This window comes from Homo sapiens, chromosome 13 (genome assembly GCF_000001405.40).
Source record: "Homo sapiens chromosome 13, GRCh38.p14 Primary Assembly".
In the NCBI taxonomy this organism is placed as follows: domain Eukaryota; kingdom Metazoa; phylum Chordata; class Mammalia; order Primates; family Hominidae; genus Homo; species Homo sapiens.
The window spans coordinates 63,967,101-63,986,314 of NC_000013.11; the positions used below are offsets into that span (position 1 = coordinate 63,967,101).

Genomic DNA, 19,214 nt, shown 5'->3' on the forward strand with positions numbered 1-19,214 from the left:
GTAAAACCAGTGAGAAGCTTGTAAAATGGTTTACATTTCAAAGAGGCAAAGAAATAATTCACAAGTTTTCTAAGGTAAGTGCTCTAAGAATAGAAAGGTTATGGGCCTAGAGTCAGTTCTAAACCTATCTAAAGTTTAGTCAGGCTGAAGGAAATATGAAGGCCATCTTGCTCTAGAAACATGAACCACTCGTGACAACCAAACCAGAATGCATGAAACTCATACAATTTTGCATGCAAATAAAATAGAAAGGGTAAAAAAAACAAATTCTCCTTAGTTCTGCTACCTAGTTTCTATCAACTGCATCTTAAATTCTTTCACACACAGAAAATTTAAAATGATACCTTTCAATACAATATAAATGTCTTATCACTAGTTTAGAATTGACTTGAAATTTATGTTGTGAACAACTTAAATCTAAAACACAAAGTATGGTGTTTAATATTGAACCTTACTCTATAGTATGATTGAAAATAATAAAAAATCTGACTTTTTGTCTAATGAGCTGTGAATAATGAGGTTTTATTAAAATGCCTAATTTGTTTAGGTACATGCAATGCCTACTTATCCAATTACTCTGGTAAAATTACAAACGGAGAAGGTTGAATCTGTTAAATTAAGAAGGTCATTGAAGCAATTAAGATTGTTGAAGCATATTATTAATACATTATAGGGGAGAGTAATAATGGAAAATCTGCCTGTTCTCCTATGTTCAGGCTTATGTTTCCATTCATTTCATTGTCTAAGACCTAAGAAAATAAAACACACACAAACACACACACACACATACACACACACACACACATAGCTGACCCTTGAACAACAGGAGTAATACAGGTTTGAACTGTTTAGATTCACCTGTATGCAAATTTTCTTCCAACTCTACCACTCCTGAGACAACACCAACCCCTCTTCTTCCTCCTTTTTCTCAGCCTATCAAAGTTGAAGACGGCAAGGATGAAGAGTTTTCTGATAATCCACTTCAATTTGATGAATAGTAAATATATTTTTGCTTCCTTATTATTTTCTTGATACAATTTTCTTTTCTCTAGTTTGCTTTAGTGTAGAAATACAGCATACGATACATGTAACACAAAAAGTATGCATTACTTGACTGCTTATGTTATCTGTAAGGCTTCTGGCCAACAGTAGGGTATCAGCAGTTAAGTTTTGGGAGAGTCAAAAGTTATTTGTGAATTTCTAATGGCATGGGGATCAGCACTCCTAACCCCTGTGTTGTTCAAGGGTTAAATGTGTGTGTTTGGGTGTGTGTATACATATATCATAAATCATCATTAAGAAGACAACAAAGACATATTTTAATAAATAATGAAATAATATGAGACTTGCCCTAATTTCTAAATTTCTTCATTTATTGAGAAAAATGTTTGTTAATAAGCAGAATTTATGTGAAAATGACAATACTGCCCAAAGCATTCAACAGATTCAAAACAATTCCCATCAAAGTATCATAATTATTATTCACAGAACTAGAAAAAAAAATTCTAAAATTCATTTGGAATCCAGAAAGAGCCTATACAGCCAAAGCAATACTAAGCAAAGAGAACAAATCTGGAAACATCACATTACCCAACTTCAAATTATACTACAAGGCTAGAGCTACCAAAACAGCATGATATTGGTATAAAAATAGGCACAAAGATTAATGGAACAGAATAGAGAGCCCAGAAAAAAAGCTAAATACTTACAGCTAACTTATCTTCAACAAAGCATACAAAAACATAAAGTGGAGAAAGGACACCAATTTAATAAATGGTGCTGGGAAAACTGTCAAGCCACATATAGGAGAATGAAACTGGGTCCCCACCTCTCACCTTACACAAAAATCAACTCAAAATGGATCAAAGACTTAAATCTAAGACCTGAAATTATAAAAATTCTAAAAGATAACATTAGAAAAATTCTTCTAGACATTGGTTTAGGCACCTAATTCATGACTAAGAACCCAAAAGTAAATGCGACAAAACCAAAAATAAATAAATGGGACCTAATTAAACTAAAAACCTATTGCACAGCATAAGAAAAAGTCAGCAGAGTAAACAGAAAACTCATAGAGTGCAAGAAAATATTTGCAAACTATGCATATCCAGAATCTACAAGGAATTCAACCAAATCAGCAAGAAAAAAACAAATAATCCCATCAAAAAGTGAGCAAAGAACATAAATAGACAACTCTCAAAGGAAGATATACAAACTGCCAACAAACATAAGAAAAAATGCTCAACATCACTAATTATCAGGGAAATGCAAATTAAAATAAAAATGAGATAAGATCTTACTTCAACAAGAACGGCCATAATAAAAAATAAAAAAAAATAAATGTTTTCATGGATGTGGTGAAAAGAGAACACTTTTACACGGCAGGTGGGATATAAACTAGGGCAAATACTATGGAAAACAGTATGGAGATTCTGTACAGAACTCAAAGTAGAACTACCATTTTATCCAGCAATCTCTCTACTCGGTATCTACCCAAAGGAAAATATAACATTATATGAAAAAGACACACGCACATGCATTTTTAGAGCAGCACTATTTGCAATTGCAAAAGTAGGGAAGCAACATAAATGCCTATGAACCAATGAGTACATAAATAAAACGTGGTATATATACACCATGGAATACTACTCAACCATAAAACAGAATATTATAGCCTTTGCAGCAACCTGGATGGAACTGGACACCATTTTTTAAGTGAAGTAACTCAGGAATGGAAAAGCAAATATTGTATGTTCTCACTTGTAAGTGAGAGCTAAGCTATGAAGATGCAAAGGCAAAAAGAACGATATAATGGACTTTGGGTAATGAGGGGGAAGGGTGGGAGGCAGGTAGGGAATGAAAGACTACATCTTGGGCACAGTGTACACTACTTGGGTGATGAGTGCAACAAAATCTCAGAAATCACCACTAAATAACTTATTCATGTAACCAAAAACCATCTGTATTTCAAAAACTATTGAAATAAAAATAAAAAATAAAAAAGCAAAAACCAGAATTTAGCACAAAATGAAGATACGAGTATACAAGAACAATTAGGTTAAAACAGATGATTTAATTTAAAACATCATAAAAATAATTCATTTAAGTATAATAATATTAATTGTTAAGATTTTTCTTTTCTTCTAGTTTAACTGGTGTGTTGTATAGGAAGAAATAAAACCTTAAAAGAATGTGCTAAGAGAAAAAGTGGCTGAAGAGTAGGAAATAAGAGAAATGAAGAGTAATACAATGGGCACTTTCATTGAAAATGTAGTACATACACATGATGGAATACTATGAAGCCAGAAAAAAGAATGAGATCATGTCCTTTGCAGGGATATGGTTGGAGAGGGAGGCCATGATCCTTGTCAAACTAATGCTGGAACAGAAAATCAAATACTGCATGTTCTCACTTATAAGTGAGTGCTAAATCATGAGAATACGTGGACACATAGAGGGGAACAACAAACACTGGAGCCTATTGGAGGATGTAGGGTGGGTGGAGGGAGAGGATCAGGAAAAATAACTAATGGGTACTAGGCTTAATACCTGAGTAATGCAATAACTTGTATAACAAACCCCCATGACACAAGTTTATCTATGTAACAAACCTGCATGTGCACCTCTGAACTTAAAATAAAAGTTAATAAAATAAAATAATATGAAATTCACTTTATTTCCTATCACTGAAACTTGAGTAAACATTTCTAGAGGATGTAAGATCAAACAACTAATACTTGTGTAATATCTTTTCTAAAATGTTAAATTATCAAGTTCTCCATCACTATATGTTCTAGAGGTTATTTCTAGGTCAACTGAGCTTGACCTTCAAATATTTACAAGGCAAAGATAGATAATTTTTCCTTCACTACAAATACAAGTATAGGGCTAATTGTTGAGACTAAGGCCTAATTTATAACTTGATTCCCAGAGCAGATTACAGGTATGGATGAAGTAATGTCAAAGTAACAGAAATCACTCTTCCTGGTTTCCCCAAGGAATAACCTAATAACTTCTATAGAAGGCTTTCCCATATTTTGAAAATGTGTAAAAGTGCCTTTTCTGCTAATCACAACTACACAGCTGGAACAACAAACCCACCAATATAATTTCCTTTTTTATTTCAAAAATTTAACCTGCTCTTTTAAAACACTTGCTGATTGCTCAACTTGGCTACACACCTATATAGGCTGACATGGAAACTTTCTAATTCTGTCTTCCAGGTGTGGCAAGTAAGTATATCAATCAACTTTTCTTTTTTCTTTCTTTTTTTTCTCCTAAAGAAATTTTCTGCCTCTCTTTTTTTTGGTTCATTGCATATCCAATTCCATCATGAGTTCAGTGATATGACTTGTTCAATAGATCCTTATTGAATGCTGTATAAACAGAGTGATAATCACTAAAGAAATAAGCATGCTTAAGACAAGAAATTTATCCTTGACAATCGCTCAGACTAGAATGATGGATAACTGTGAGGCAATGTGAGGAATAACTGTGTATCTATGTTTGAAATATACTACTTGGGAGACGCTCTTTACGAAAAATGGTACTGAATACAAATAGGAAACCATCTATAGGCACTTCAAAGATGCCTATAAAATTGAGGGGCTGTGAATCTTACATTTTATTCACATTATGGTAAATTAGCTGCTGATAATGAGCATTATAATGGTGATCTATACAAAGTGCTGTGGGAACACTATTGGTCAGAATACTTGTTCATATACAGTTACCATCTCATTAAATGTTACAGGAAGGAGTCTATTACTTCTGCCACCTGTGGGACTCAATAGAGACTTCATTAAAGTAAAATATGGGCTAAGGTTGGTAGATGAAAAACAGTTCACCAGTTAGATTAGGTGGGAAATAAAAAACTTTTCAAGCAGAAGAAGACACACAAATAAATGCAAAAAGATATGATAATGTGTAGCTTTTTCAAGAAATTGCAATAATATACAGCACAACTGCATGAAGAAAAAAGAAAATAAGAAAAACATGTCTAAGCTGGACATTAGATAGATTATTATCAATTAAAAAAGGTTTTGGTACTTGTGTGCCATGATAAATAGGATAGCTATATATTTTAAAGTGGTGAAATGCTTAACTGGAAAGTTAGAGTGCCAGCTCTCTGTTTTTTAACATTTCTAATTAACATTATGTGTCATCCAGCATAGGTTTTGAAAAAAAATGTATTTTATGCTCATGTGCTATCCCAATTATTTATTGTTAATATCTTCATGATGGAACATAGAAAAAATAAACACTGCCAGTTAACGTTCATATTAATTTATGTATTAAATATACAGCATGTAGATAACATTATTTGTTAAGTGACTAGATATTATTAAATCACTATGAAAATATTTATATTGCCATCCAATTTTTTCCTGTTTATATAAGTACTTTCATTTGCTCTGGAGAAAACTGGCAGGCTAATGACATTTAGAGTGATGACAGAATCATCTGTCAGCCTTCTCTATAATTCTCTCCAGGCCCTGACAGACAAATACATTTTCAAATGCTGTAAAAGAAATAAGTACCAAAGCAATATAAAAATAACTTTAAAGGTCTGATAAAAGAGGCTAAAGCAAGGACATTGAAAGTTAATTCTTCTCGTTCTGCCTAAACTTGCCTTATTCAGTTTCACAGACCTGTAAAATATAATAATTATTTTCTTTTCTTTCTTTTCTTTTTTTTTTTTTTTCGAGACAGAGGCTTGCTCTGTCTCCAGGCTGGAGTGCAGTGGCGCGATCTCGGCTCACTGCAACCTCCACCTCCTGAGTTCAAGCGATTCTCGTGCCTCAGCCTCCCAAGTAGCTGGGTTTACAGGCACGTGCCACCACACCCAGCTAATTTTTGTGGTTTTAGTGGAGAAAGGGTTTCATCATGTTGCCCAGGACGTTCTTAAACTCCTGACCTTGTGATCTGTCCACTTCGGGCAAAAACAGACAAGATCTTCTAAAAGGAGATATAAACAATGGTTTAGAAGTGATTATGAATCAGTTAGATGATTCTATATATATTTGTATTAGATGATTCCAATATATTTGTATTATCATTTAGGATGGTTTCTGCTGGAAGTAACCAATGCTCAGTACAAAGTGGCTTAAGTTATAAGTAGAGTTGTGAAACGTCATGGTTCAGTCATGATTTTGCTGTATTTGTCTGTGATTTTTTAACTGTGCATGATAATTTTTTTTAGTGTGTTATCTAATGGTTACAACAATTCTGGGTCTCATATATGCCTAGAGGCAGAGCCCTTTAGATCTAGGATTCCCAGCAAGAATTAAAAGTAATTTTATTTTTGTCCACTATTTAATCAAGGCCTGCCCAATGGGATACAAAATATGGATTAATTTAAATCAACTCTGCCCTCTCTTCCCAGCTGGGGATGTGGTCTACCTTCTCCACAGCACATGGAGTGGATGGGTGGGGTAGAATAATGCAAAAGGAAAATGGACCCTGGGTAGCCAATCAATTATGTAAATTGCACTGGACAAAATAAAACAACATTGCTTTTTTTTTCAAGTACTTATAATTTATATCCTAAAATTCAGTGTTGCCTTTTAATTGTTCTTTATTTATTTTTTTATTTTTTGTCTACAAACTACAAACCACATCTATGATGTGCTCTTTGTATTAAAAATCTGATTTTTCTTCTTAAATTTTTTGATAATACTCTGGAACCTCAGCAAATGTCTTAAGTTCCATGGAATAAGCATCCCAAGCTTTTCATGCTATTTCTCATGAACTCCTGAGGTGCCTCCTTTTCCCATATAGTATACCTTAAAATTAAAACTCCAGAATTAATGATCTAGATCATAAGAGGTAGGGAAAGACATGTGACAAGATGGTGCTAATATGGTTAGGAGTAAAGAAAGGCCCTTCTGATACAGTGGCAATGAGCAAGAAAACGGAATAATGTGCAGGTGGGGGACAGGGAATAATTCATTCACATATCCACTGGCACAATGTTCTAGGCATTGCAAATGTCCATGTTTGGAGTGGCCTCTGTGTATTCCTGTTTTCAGAGGGTTAATACAGATAGAAATAGAGGGTGCCCTGATAGAGAGGGAGATAACTAGATCAAAAATAAGAACTCTTAATGAAATCAGAGAACACAAATAATGAATTGGAAGACAAAGAAAAAAAGAACAAGAAGAGTATGTGCTCAGAATGTGAAATAGTAAAAGTGATGATTTCACAGAGCAAATATGCTGCAATAACCAGTAGCTGCAATATTGTATATATACACAATATTGTGTGAGTGTGTATATATATATACACACACACACACATATATATACACACACACGAAGGGAAAACACTAGTCCTATATAAAAATCTGATCAAATATCACTTTAATTATTTTTACCAAAAAATTTTAATTAACAAAATGTCATTCCTTTTACATGTATATGACCAAATTAGCATCATATAGATCCATATTGTATTCTATAAGAAAGAATTAAATCTTAACATATTCTCCAAAGCATATTTCACAGAAAAGTTGGTTTCATGAGATTGTTGAAATGAATACATTGATTTTATGGTTAAATAATTTTGACAAATGTTGCACTCTATCTCTCTCTCTAAGATTCACAAAGCTTAAATATAACAGAAGATTTGATAAGTCCTAGAGTATTAGAAACCTGCTTGAGTTTGCAACATATTTACCAAAATTACTGGCCAAAGGACTCCTCTGCTATAAAGTAACAACTCTTTATATATAACTGAGGTTTCTTAAAGCGATTTTTGAAAATCACTGCTTTAAGATAAACAATTCATGTATGTATGTATTTATTGTATCTCAGAGGACTTATTGTTTTCATGTCTGAAGACAAACTTCCTCTTCTGGAAGTCATCTCTAAATATTAAATGCCTGTGCAGTTTGGTAGACTGAGCTACCCAACCAGAAAGAGAGATGCCCTCTAACCACATTTCTGTGGGAAGGTGTGGACTGTAGCTTCCCTGACTGTGGTTTAGGTTGAAAAGGTTACTCTCTCCTGCTGAGATGGATGGTCGGCTTCACCCATCAGCAAAAGTGCTTATGTGGTACTCCTTGGCTGGCATGGGTTCTTTGATTTATCCTAATCTAAGAACTGTCAATATTATCTACAGTATGAAATAGGCACAGAACTGAAAAGAAAAGACAAACGCATACAATTTCACTTTTCTAGATGTTTCTACAATTATAATATTGAGCCTGTCATTAAAAACTAAGTGGTTGCTGTCCTGCAGAAAAGAGCAGAATATGATCATGGGTGTCCTTTTGGAAGAGCTGATCAATTTCCTTGAGTAGTGGAACACAGTCACAAATAATACATCCCTATCATGTGGCCTGGTTTGAGAACACTCAAATTCTGCATGCCATTGCTGCTGCATTTACTTGGTCTGCAACCTGCATATGGAGACTATTCTTTTATTTTGGGAAAAAAAAACATTCAACTCTGCCACACTTTTATGCCATACCACGAATTATGCAGATATATATATATATATATATATATATATATATATTTTTTTTTTTTTTTCCCTTAGGAATGTTCCTTGTACCTCTAGTTCAGCCCAGGCTTACATCCTCTTAACAAAGATGATGTCACTAGTTGTTATCCACATTCACATTGGGAGGCTGTCTTTCTATCTCTGTTCCAGGTGAGAGATTCTTTGGGTGGCAGTCACAGAGACAGCCCAGGCACCATCATGACTGTCTCTCCTTAAGTGACCACATAATCTGCCACTGGTAGTGTTACAGTGATGGTTCCTTGCCCACTGCTGGTTGTGTTGGTATTGGCTTGCTGTCTGAAAAGTCTATGCCACTGTCAAAGTGGCTGCTGAGATGGTGGCTGTGACTCGCTGGAGAATGTTGCCATCTGCATTAACTGGCTGGTAGACCATGATCTGTCCTACTTGCTGCCCTTGGATAGCAATCTGCTTCTTTGTGTGTCTGGCTGGTGGTGAGGGCTGTCTGCACGTGCTGGATGACAATCTTCTGAGTCTGGTCTTGTTGGCCCTGAACCTGTAAAGTCTTTCCCTCTGTATCTCTATCCTCCACTTTTTTTCCCCCAGACCTCGATCTATTTCCACAAGACCAACTATATCTGCTACAAGGCTGTGTCCCAAACATAGATACTTGTAGGATGGTTTAGCCTTGTCCCTCAGGGACAGCTTGGACAATGATTTGTTGTCATTTGGTGTGATTTAACAGGCCTCTACTGACTTGAAACATCAAGGCATAACCCCTTTCCTGCTGCAGAATCTGTCCACTCTCTAAACCAGTATTCTGTGGTGAGGTATTGCTGTTTACTGCATGTCGCTCCATGTTCCAACTAAGTTGGAAGATCACCCACAGTGAGCCCCACAGAGATCCTAGAAGACTATGTAGTATAGGGGGAGTCTATGGCAGGCAAGCCCACTCTGGGCCTCAGCCTTGAAAATTTGGGCCTAAGGTTGGGGAGGAGGGGATGCGTTTTCCCCTGGCACTGACATATTGCAAGGGTTAAGACCTCTCAAGGTGCCTGCTCCAGTGGTGCCATTCCTGGGTGGGACTGGCCCCTCTAGGACTCAGACTAGAGTGCCCATAGGTGCTCAAAGGCTTTGGGCCACAACCACCAGCTATGCCAATCAGCCAGCTAGACTCAGCTCAATTCTAACAATTTATTTATATTCAACAAATATTCATGGGCATACTCATGTGTACACTGATGTGTACACTCATGTGTATTACTTTCTGATGGAGGTAGAGAGATGTTTGCCCAAGAATCTTGCACAAAAACCATGTGTTATGCAATAGAAAAGATAAGAAAAGTACAAAACTCAATGACAAGGCAAACTAAGAAATAATTAAAAGAGAGGTAGAAATAAATTTCTGGGGCATCACAATATCTCTGAGAATCAGTAAATACAGCAAAAAAGAGTGATATTTGAGCATGATCTTTGACAATTTTGACAATAAAAAAGTGGTGAATTTCTGGCAAACACACAGGGGTAGTGTCTTTCGAAAAAGTGGAACGCAGCCCAATTTGACAATAGCATAAGACACATATAATGGAGTTGAAATCTAAATCTTGTTTCTGTATTCTCTAAGTTTTGACTTTGTTTTCCTTCATTCTACCCCTCTGTATGCTACTTTTGTCTAGTATGAACTTCTCATTGCGACCCTTTAAGTCAGCATTTCCCAGGTATCTGGCCTTGAACTTCTCAATTTACACACTCAACCTTACTGCTGACATTCACAGAAATGACTTCATGAAAAACGTAAAGGCTGATGACTCCTATCCTAAACCAGTCTCCTAAACTCCAGATCATTTCACCAAATGCCTTCTAGAAATCTCCCAATGAATGCCCCATAATAATTTTAAAGCATCATGTTCATCATTTTCTCACAAATCTATGTTGCCCCTGAGTTTCCTAACTTAATTTATAGCAATAAAACACTTGAGAAAAACAATAAGGAGGAATCCCTAGGCAGCAACAATAATCATATAATGCCACATCTGTAGACATTTTAGAATATCCCTCAGAAATTTTCCACAAAGAGGAAATGAGAGAGAGAGTAATAGTGATTCATCCTAAAGATAGTTTTACTGGCAATAGAATTTTCCTTAGATGTGCCTCTGTGGGGAAGTGGAAAAAGAGAGCAAAATAGATTTTTAACTTTGAAGGAAAGCATGCATGACCGGCTGCATAATTTGCAGAGCCCAGTGCACAGCGAAAATGTGGGGTCCCTTGTTCAAAAATTAAGAATTTCCACCGAGCAATAGCAGAGCATTAACTCAGGTATGGGCCCTTTCCAACTGTAAGTCCAGGGGTACTGTACAGCCCCCAAACTCACGAAGTGTTTTCCAGATGCAAGTCTTAACAGCATGATGACACTGGTAAGTTATAAAGTACTTGGGTTCACATTCAAGGTTCACAAAGTTATATTAAAACTGAAAAAAAGTATTCATAAAACTGTTTTTGAAAAGAATTAAAAGAGAGAAGTGAGCTCTTAATGAGGAAAAATGTCACAGAAATTTTCACTGTCCTGCACATATTCTGTTCAGCTCCACATGTAATTACTACAGGGATGATGATATGAAATATTTTGTAAATATTTATACCAATTAAGGACTTGTGCTTTTACTTTATCAACTCACTGCCATCTGCATTCATAACTTTTCTGAAAACTGTGTTTGACTTTGATTTATGTATTTCATGATCAAGAAGTCCTTATTGTGTCCATCAGCATTTGTCTTAAACTGCATGTGTTTATTTTAAAGAAAATATTCATGCTGCTTCTTTGAAGCTTTCTTTTTAATCCAGACATCTTGTCTGCAATTTTCTTCATGATAACCTCAGAAAGAAACTTATTATTTTTCTACATATTCTATTCTGTTATTATTTAACTTCTTTCATTATCCCCTGGTTGTCCAGAGTCTTCTATTATGGATCATATTATCTTTCAAGAAATAGTGAAAGAATCTTCTGTTGTTTTATTCGCTTTCAGTACAGTACATCATCTACCATCAACTGTGCTTTTTTAGTCAATGTATTTTACTCTTTCAGTTTTACTTCATTATTTACTCTTTTCAGTGCATGAAATATTTTCCCAGATTTAAGCAAATTAGGCATTGATGCAAAATATATGCCTAGTAAAACATATATAAAGAAATTCTATGCATCTCTGGGATATGTTTGTGCACCTTCTTTGACATGTAATGCCCCTGCTGGTCCAGTTTTGATCCCTCCTCATTGGAGCCTGTCAATCACTCTAAATTGTATGTGGATTTTATAATATGAGGATATTTCCCAGAGGCTACAACAACTGAAAGCCTTGGATAAGTTGAAAAACAAACTAATAAATAATGAAGAAATTCAGCAAAAGGCATAATAGAATAAGCCATTCTGTAAATTTTTACTATTTGGATTTTTAATACTGCCATACAGAAAAGATGAAAAATTATCTTCCTAAAATTCCTATGGTAAAATGGTTTGTAATTTCACTCTCTTTTAAGGAAATATATAAGGTAAATAAAATATCCTGGGTGATGTCAGAGAGAGAAACCTATTTCATACTATCAATTTTGTATAGCTGGTAGGCTTTTATGTTTTCGATAAAGGAGGCACATAAATATTTTGATATACAATTTTAATGACATCTATAGCAAATGAGTGTTTCTATAATTTTAACCTTTTTAAAATTTTCTCCTATTTGAGTCATCTGCCACTTTCCTTTTCAGTTTAGTTACATCCAGTCTCTCTTTCTGTCCCATTTAATGGTAATGAAAGAGGAAAAGCTTACAGAACGTGTGTTTAAAATTGTTATAAAAGGAGAAAAGCTTTAGAGAATATGTTTTGAAAATCTAAAGACAAGTTTGTAAATATCCACAGGTAATTTTCCTTTTTTTAAATAAATTAATTCTTGTTAGGTGTCTAGTGTCTACTATCACATTACAAATTTCATAATGGGGCAAACTATTCAGTTCTACATCATATACACAGTTTGTGCATAGTTCACAATATTTTAACAGTTCAACCCATAAGTTCCAAATTCACATTTATTTTGTGTTGTCAAAGAAATAAACCTGCAGAGTTTTGTAGTAACAAGTGCAATCCAAATTATAAAATATAGGAGTATTTGTATGAGTTTATTATTATTGTGTTGTTTTTGCTTGTTCTTAGTTTTTGAGAGTGAAATCACATATAAAGTCTTATTTATTTAATATTCTGAGATTCATGGTTCACTGAAAAATGAACAAGGTCGGAGATGTGATGTGCCAATCACATTTCCTGCACAATCAAATTTTTACCACAGGGACTGGTCTTCAAAATGATAGTTTCTCCTCCTCCCATACCTTTGATAATATGTGTGCTTATCATGCTGTTTGGGAATATTTGTGTAAGATTTGGCATAATCATGTCAGTGAAAAGCAGACAACTTGCATTTACCTAAAGAATACAACCTCAGAGGATGATTCATTGAATAGTGGGGGGATTCTTACATTTCTGATACTTTGAATTGAACTTTAGCATGAGGGTAAGATATTAATTGCCAAAATATCAAGAAAATAAACAGATAAGGAAATTCAAAAACAATACTGATTTTACCCTGAGAGGAAGCTGCATTCTTACTAAGAGGAAGATAAACAGTAAGAGGAAGATAAACACTAAGAGAAGTCCAAATTTCAAGATATACAATGCAATTTTATCTACTTCACAAGCATGAAAAATGAACACTGTTAAAAAAATTTGGCATGCCAGTAGACTATTATGATTTAATGGAATATATTTTATAGGTTGGATATTAAGTTATATTTACTTGGGGGTTACATTAATTAAAGTCAAGGGTAATTAATTTGTGGAGAATCTCCCAAGCTAGAGTATGTTACAAGTCAGATTTCCATTTGCTTATATCTTTGGATCCAAATTACTGTATACTTCTGAAAATAGCTATTAAACTGACCAGAATAAGGCTATAGAGATGTGCATTAAATGGAACTGGACTGTAGTTTAGGCCTATTAAAGCAAAGATTTTCAACCTTGGAAAGCACATTAATAGTAGATCCAATACTACTCATACATTTGAGGGAAAAAAATAGAAAAAATATCAGTTATATTTGTCTATATTTTGGAAGAGAGTAGAAACTGAAAGGAAATATGAAAAGGCTTCTGAGAGTTTTGATCTAGGATGCTAGTTACACAACACAGTCAGTGTTTTAAAATTATTTGACCTACACTCTGATTTACTTGCAAGTATTTATATTATACTTCAGTAAACAGCTTTAAAGGCAAATTTAAAAAATCTCAAAAATAAGGCCGGGCATGGTAGCTCTTGCCTGTAATCACAGCACTTTGGGAGGCCGAGGCTAGTAAAAATACAAAAAATTAGCCGGGCATGGTGGCAGACACTTGTAATCCCAGCTACTCGGGAGGCTGAGGCAGGAGAATTGCTTGAACCTGGGAGGTGGAGGTTGCAGTGAGCCGAGATCACGCCACTGCACTCCAGCCTGGGCAACAGAGTGAGACTCCATCTCAAAAACAAAAACAAAAACAAAAAATCAGATACAATTTATACTCAAAAGTACATGCTGAGCATATTTTCTTTCCTTCAAATAGAACCACAAACAGAGAGGGAACTGCTAGAGAAAAGAAATCAAATAGATTGTTCTTCTATTTTAAGTGGTAGTAGGGGTCAGAGGTTGGGAGGCAATATAAGTACAAACGCAGCGATTTCATCTTTCCATGTTCCGTTTTTTTGTTGCATGATTGGGACTACTTTTGGTTACATTAGGGTAGGCATGGCCACGTCTACCATCACATTTTTCCTATATTAGAAGGCATCAGGAAAACTTTTCACCCTGCTTGCAATGATTCCACTAATTTTACTGTTGTCCTTAATAATTCTTTATGTCAAGAGGCATTAGCCTCACCCCATATTGACACTAACCCCAGAACACTTGCGTCCTCTATAGAATATAGAATGGCTTAATAGGTGGGGGTGGCCCTCATGTTCAGCTATTGTCAGGCATATGTGCTCTGGTATAGCATTTGCTACAGTATCTGGGCTCAAGGGATAGATTAAAGTATGCCTGAGAAATGACCTAGATACCTTCCCTCTTTTTCATTTCCTGCAACTACCATATGGACTGATTGCATTTGAACAGAGTGAAATCTCCCTTCCAAAATTCAGTGCTCCACTTGTGACTAATTATGTAGGTAATAGGATTATAAATCAATGATAAGTGGCAGACATAGAAGACTCAGATGAAAGTAACCAAGCTACAGTGTCCCCCTCAGGTGTCCCAAATTATAGTACAGATGAAGAGTCATAGTCTCCTAACCTGTACAAATCATAAGCCATCTGTTAGTTAGGCAGCAGCTGAGGCAGGATGCTGCAAGGAGTGTTGAGGAAAGAGTGAATGCAGGAGCAAGGAGGGACCACACCTGGGGAGATCTATCAGTAGAACCCAGCCCACCTCCAGAGTTCCTAATTCTGAAACCTTCCAGAGTCCAAAGCTTCAAACCCTCCCTTGGGTTTGAATCCTAAACCTTCTTCAAATTGCATGTTGTGCTCAAGAGAAGATCCTAGAGACCTGGCTGGCTTTCTTCCAGAGGCCCCCCTGCTAGAGGTCTGTCAGAATGCTCATTTATTCCTTAAAACAAAACAAGAGGGGATTGTGCCTCATATTTGTTTTGATCTTTCTTTTCTCATTTAAGCCACTAGGCTATTTTCTCAATCTTCTACAGCTATTTCAAAGTCTACAGAGTACATTTATAAAACAAAAATATTGGTCATGGCTTTTTGTGTATGTGTGTACATGCACATGGGTTAGTAGGGATATAAAAAATAAAATCAAGTGATCTTTTACTAGAAACTAGATCAACAAAATGTGGAGGAGATACTATGTAATAATAAATAACATTCAGAAAAGTCATCATAAGCAGTCCAGAAGGTCATTAAAACTCTGCCCTGATGCCTCACTTTTTCTCTAAGAGGATGGCAAAGGGCTTGCCTCAATTTTATAGGGCAGCATTAAAATAGAAGAGTGCCTCTTTTGAACTTGAAGTGTCTTCTTTAACAAGGAAGACTGTTATATCTCCTGCCCTACATAAGTATTTGTTTACATGGATACAGATATGTGCAATAAGTTGTTCTATGTAAAAATAACTTGTACAGCTGGACAGTGTCTCCACATCTGGCTGTTCAACCTACGCCTGTGATTACAGGTGTGAGCCACCATGCCTGGCCTAAATTAAATATTATAATAAAGTGAGTCACACAATTTTTTTGGTCTACCAGTGTATATAAAAGTTATGTTTATATTTTAGTGTAATTTATTGTGTGCAGTATCATTATGTTTAAACACAATTTACATAACTTAATTTAAAATACTGCTAAAAAATGCGAGTGATCATCTAAGCCTTTAGCACGTTGTAATCCTTTTGCTTATGGAGGGTCTTTCCTCAATATTGATGGCCGCTGAATGATCAAGGCGGTGGTTTCTAAAGGTTGGGATGGCTGTGTGAATTTCTTAAAATAAAAGAACAATGAGGTTTGCCACAATGATTGACTCTTCCTTATTTAAAAGTTTTCTCTGTAGCATGTGGTGCTGTCTGATGGCATTTTATCCACAAGAATGTTTTTTCAAATTTAGAGTCAGTCCTCTCAAACCCCACCATTGCTTTATCAATATCCCAAGTATTATGGAATACTCTAAATCCTTTGGTGGCATTAAAACAATATTCACAGCATCTTCACCAGAATTAAATTCCATCTAAAGAAACCACTTTCTTTCTTCATTCATAAGAAGCAGCCCCTCATCCATCATGAGATTGGAGCAATGCAGTCACTTCTGCAGGCTCCACTTCTAATTCCAGTTCATTTGTTATTTCTACCATATCTTCAGTTCCTTCCTCCACTGAAGTCTTGAGTTCCTCAAAGTTATTCATGAGGATTAGAATTAACTTCTTCCAAATTCTTGTTAATGTTGATGTTTTGACTTTCTCAATGAATCATGAATGTTTTTATTGGCATCTATAGTAGTGAACCCTTTCCAGAAAATTGGATTTACTTTGCCTAGATCCATCAGAATAATCACTAGCTTTGAGAGATATGCCCTTACAAAATACATTTTTTAAACAATAAGACACGAAAGTCAAAATTGTTCATTGGCCCACAAGCTGGAGAAAGAATGTTGTGTTTGCAGGTATGAAAACATTAATTTCCTTATACTTCCCATATAAGCTCTTGGATGACCAGGCACATTGTCAATGAGTAGTAATACTCTGAAAGGGATCTTTTCTTCTTAGCAGTAGATCTCAACAATAGGTTCCAAGTATTCAGTGATCCATGTTGTAAATAGATGTGCTGCTACCCAGGCTTTAATGATCCATTTATAGAGCATAGGCAGAGTAGATTTCATGTATATCTCAAGGGCCCTAAGATTTTTTGAAAGATAAAAATGGTAAATAAGAACTGTCTTCAATTTAAAATTACCAGCTGCATTAGCCCCTAATAAGAGTCAACCTGTTTTTTGAAGTTTTGAAGCCAGACATTGACTCCACTGCATCTACAAAAGTCCGAGATGGTGTTTTATTCCAATAGAAAGCTCTTTCATCTACACTGAAAATCTTGTTTAATGTAGCCACATTTATTAATTATCCTATCTAGATCTTCTGTATACTTGGCTGTAGCTTCTATGTCAGCACTTGCTACTTCAGCTTGCATTTCTATGTTATGGAGACAGCTTCTTTCTCTCAACCTCCTGAACCAACCTCTGCTAGCTTCAACCTTTTCTTCTGAAGTTTTCTCATCTCTCTCAATCTTTGTAGTATTGAAGATAGTTAGGGCCTTGTTCTGAATTAGGCTTTGAGTTTTCTGGCTTGCAGAACAGGCAAGGCTTATAACTCTTAGGCTTTGTGGCTGGTTTGATCGTCTATCTGGACCACTCAAACTTTCTCCATATCAGCAATAAGGTTGTTTCATTCTCTTATCATCTTTGTGTTCACAGGAGTAGCACTTTTAGTTTCCTTCAATAATTTTGCCTTTTCATACACAACTTGGCTGTTTTGTACAAAAGCCTAGCTTTTGACCTGTCTTTGCTTTCAACATGCCTTCCTTACTTAGCTTAATTATTTCCAGCTTTTGATTTAAAGTGAGAGACCTGTGACTATTCACTTGAATGTCTAAAGGGCATTATAAGGTTATTAATTGGCCTAATTTCAATATTGTTGTATGTCTGTGAATAGGGAGGTCTGAAAAAAGGGGTAACAGCCAGTTGCTTAAACAGTCAGAACACACACAACATTTATCAATTAGGTTTATCATCTTATATGGATCCAGTTTATGATACCCAAAAGAATTACAATCATAACATCCAAGATCACTGATCACAGATCACCATAACAGATAAAATAATATTTAAAAAGCTTGAAATATTGCAGGAATTACCAAAATGTGACACAGAGACAGGAAGTGAGCACATGCTATTGGAAAAAGGCACCAATCCGCTAGCACGACACAAGGTTACAACGAACTTTCAATTTATATAAAACACGCAGTATCTAAAAAAGCACAATAAAGCGAAACAAAAATGAGGTATGCCTGTATATATGTGTGTGTATGTATATATATATATAAACAATTATGTCTCACTTAACGATGGCGGTACATTCTGAGAAATGGGTCATTAGACTCTTCAGCATTTTTTGAACATCATAGAGTGTACTTACACCAACATAGGTGGGATATCCTACTATGTACCTAAACTATGCGGTTTAGCCTATTGTTCCTGGCCTACAAACCCATATAACATGTTACTTTACTGAATGCTAAAGGCATTTGTAACACATTCATAGGTATCTGTGTTTCTAAGCATAGATAAGGTAGAGTAAAAATATGGTATTTTAATCTAATGGGACCACTGTTAAATATGTGGTTCATTGTAAATGGAAGCATTGTTACGTGGTACATGACTCTGTGTGTGTGTGTGTGTGTGTGTGTGTGTGTGTATTACATATAATAATTTTTACATTCTAGCTCCAGTTAAGCATCCTAGCTATACCTATGTATTTTAATTCATACCTTATTATTTGATAATCATGTATGAAACCTCATACTTGTAAACTTTCTTTTATTATGCTAAAATACATTCAGAAACCATAGATTAAGGAACTTGTAAGATTAGAATTGTGGAAGAAATTATCTCTATTTCTTTTCTATACTGGTTGCAAAGAAATATTATACTGACCTGATCCCAAAAGTTAGCATTCCTGTATGATTTTTGACCAAGAAAATATGAGTGGAAATAATATATGTTGTCTCTGGGTGAAAGAATTTAGCTAGTGCTTGAGTCTTTCATTCACTCATTCTCTGGCCCACAGAAGTAGAAAGTTCTATATTCAGATATATGTCTACAAGATGGTTAAGCCTCTTTTGGTGTGGCTTGTAAAGGATAATTGCTCTGACGACCACCTAGATTTGCAAGGAAATTTACTTAAATCTTAACTTAGATTATCCTAAATCTTAACTGATATGGGAGACTTGTTTGTTGTCACAGCAAAACATCATCTAACCCGACTGACACAGAATCTTTCTCACTTCATTATGTTTTATTATCCCCTGCCTATTCCCTGTGGCAATGAATATTTCCTTTAAAACTAAAAGAACTTGCAGGTTTATTTGTAGACATTAAGGGAAAGAGCTAGCTAGTCCTGTTGACCATTACTGCAAA

The 19,214-nt window shown here is 35.3% G+C and overlaps 1 pseudogene; it reads right to left on the reverse strand.

The window, feature by feature from the left end:
- Nucleotides 8,680-9,323, reverse strand: NFYAP1 (nuclear transcription factor Y subunit alpha pseudogene 1; annotated as a pseudogene).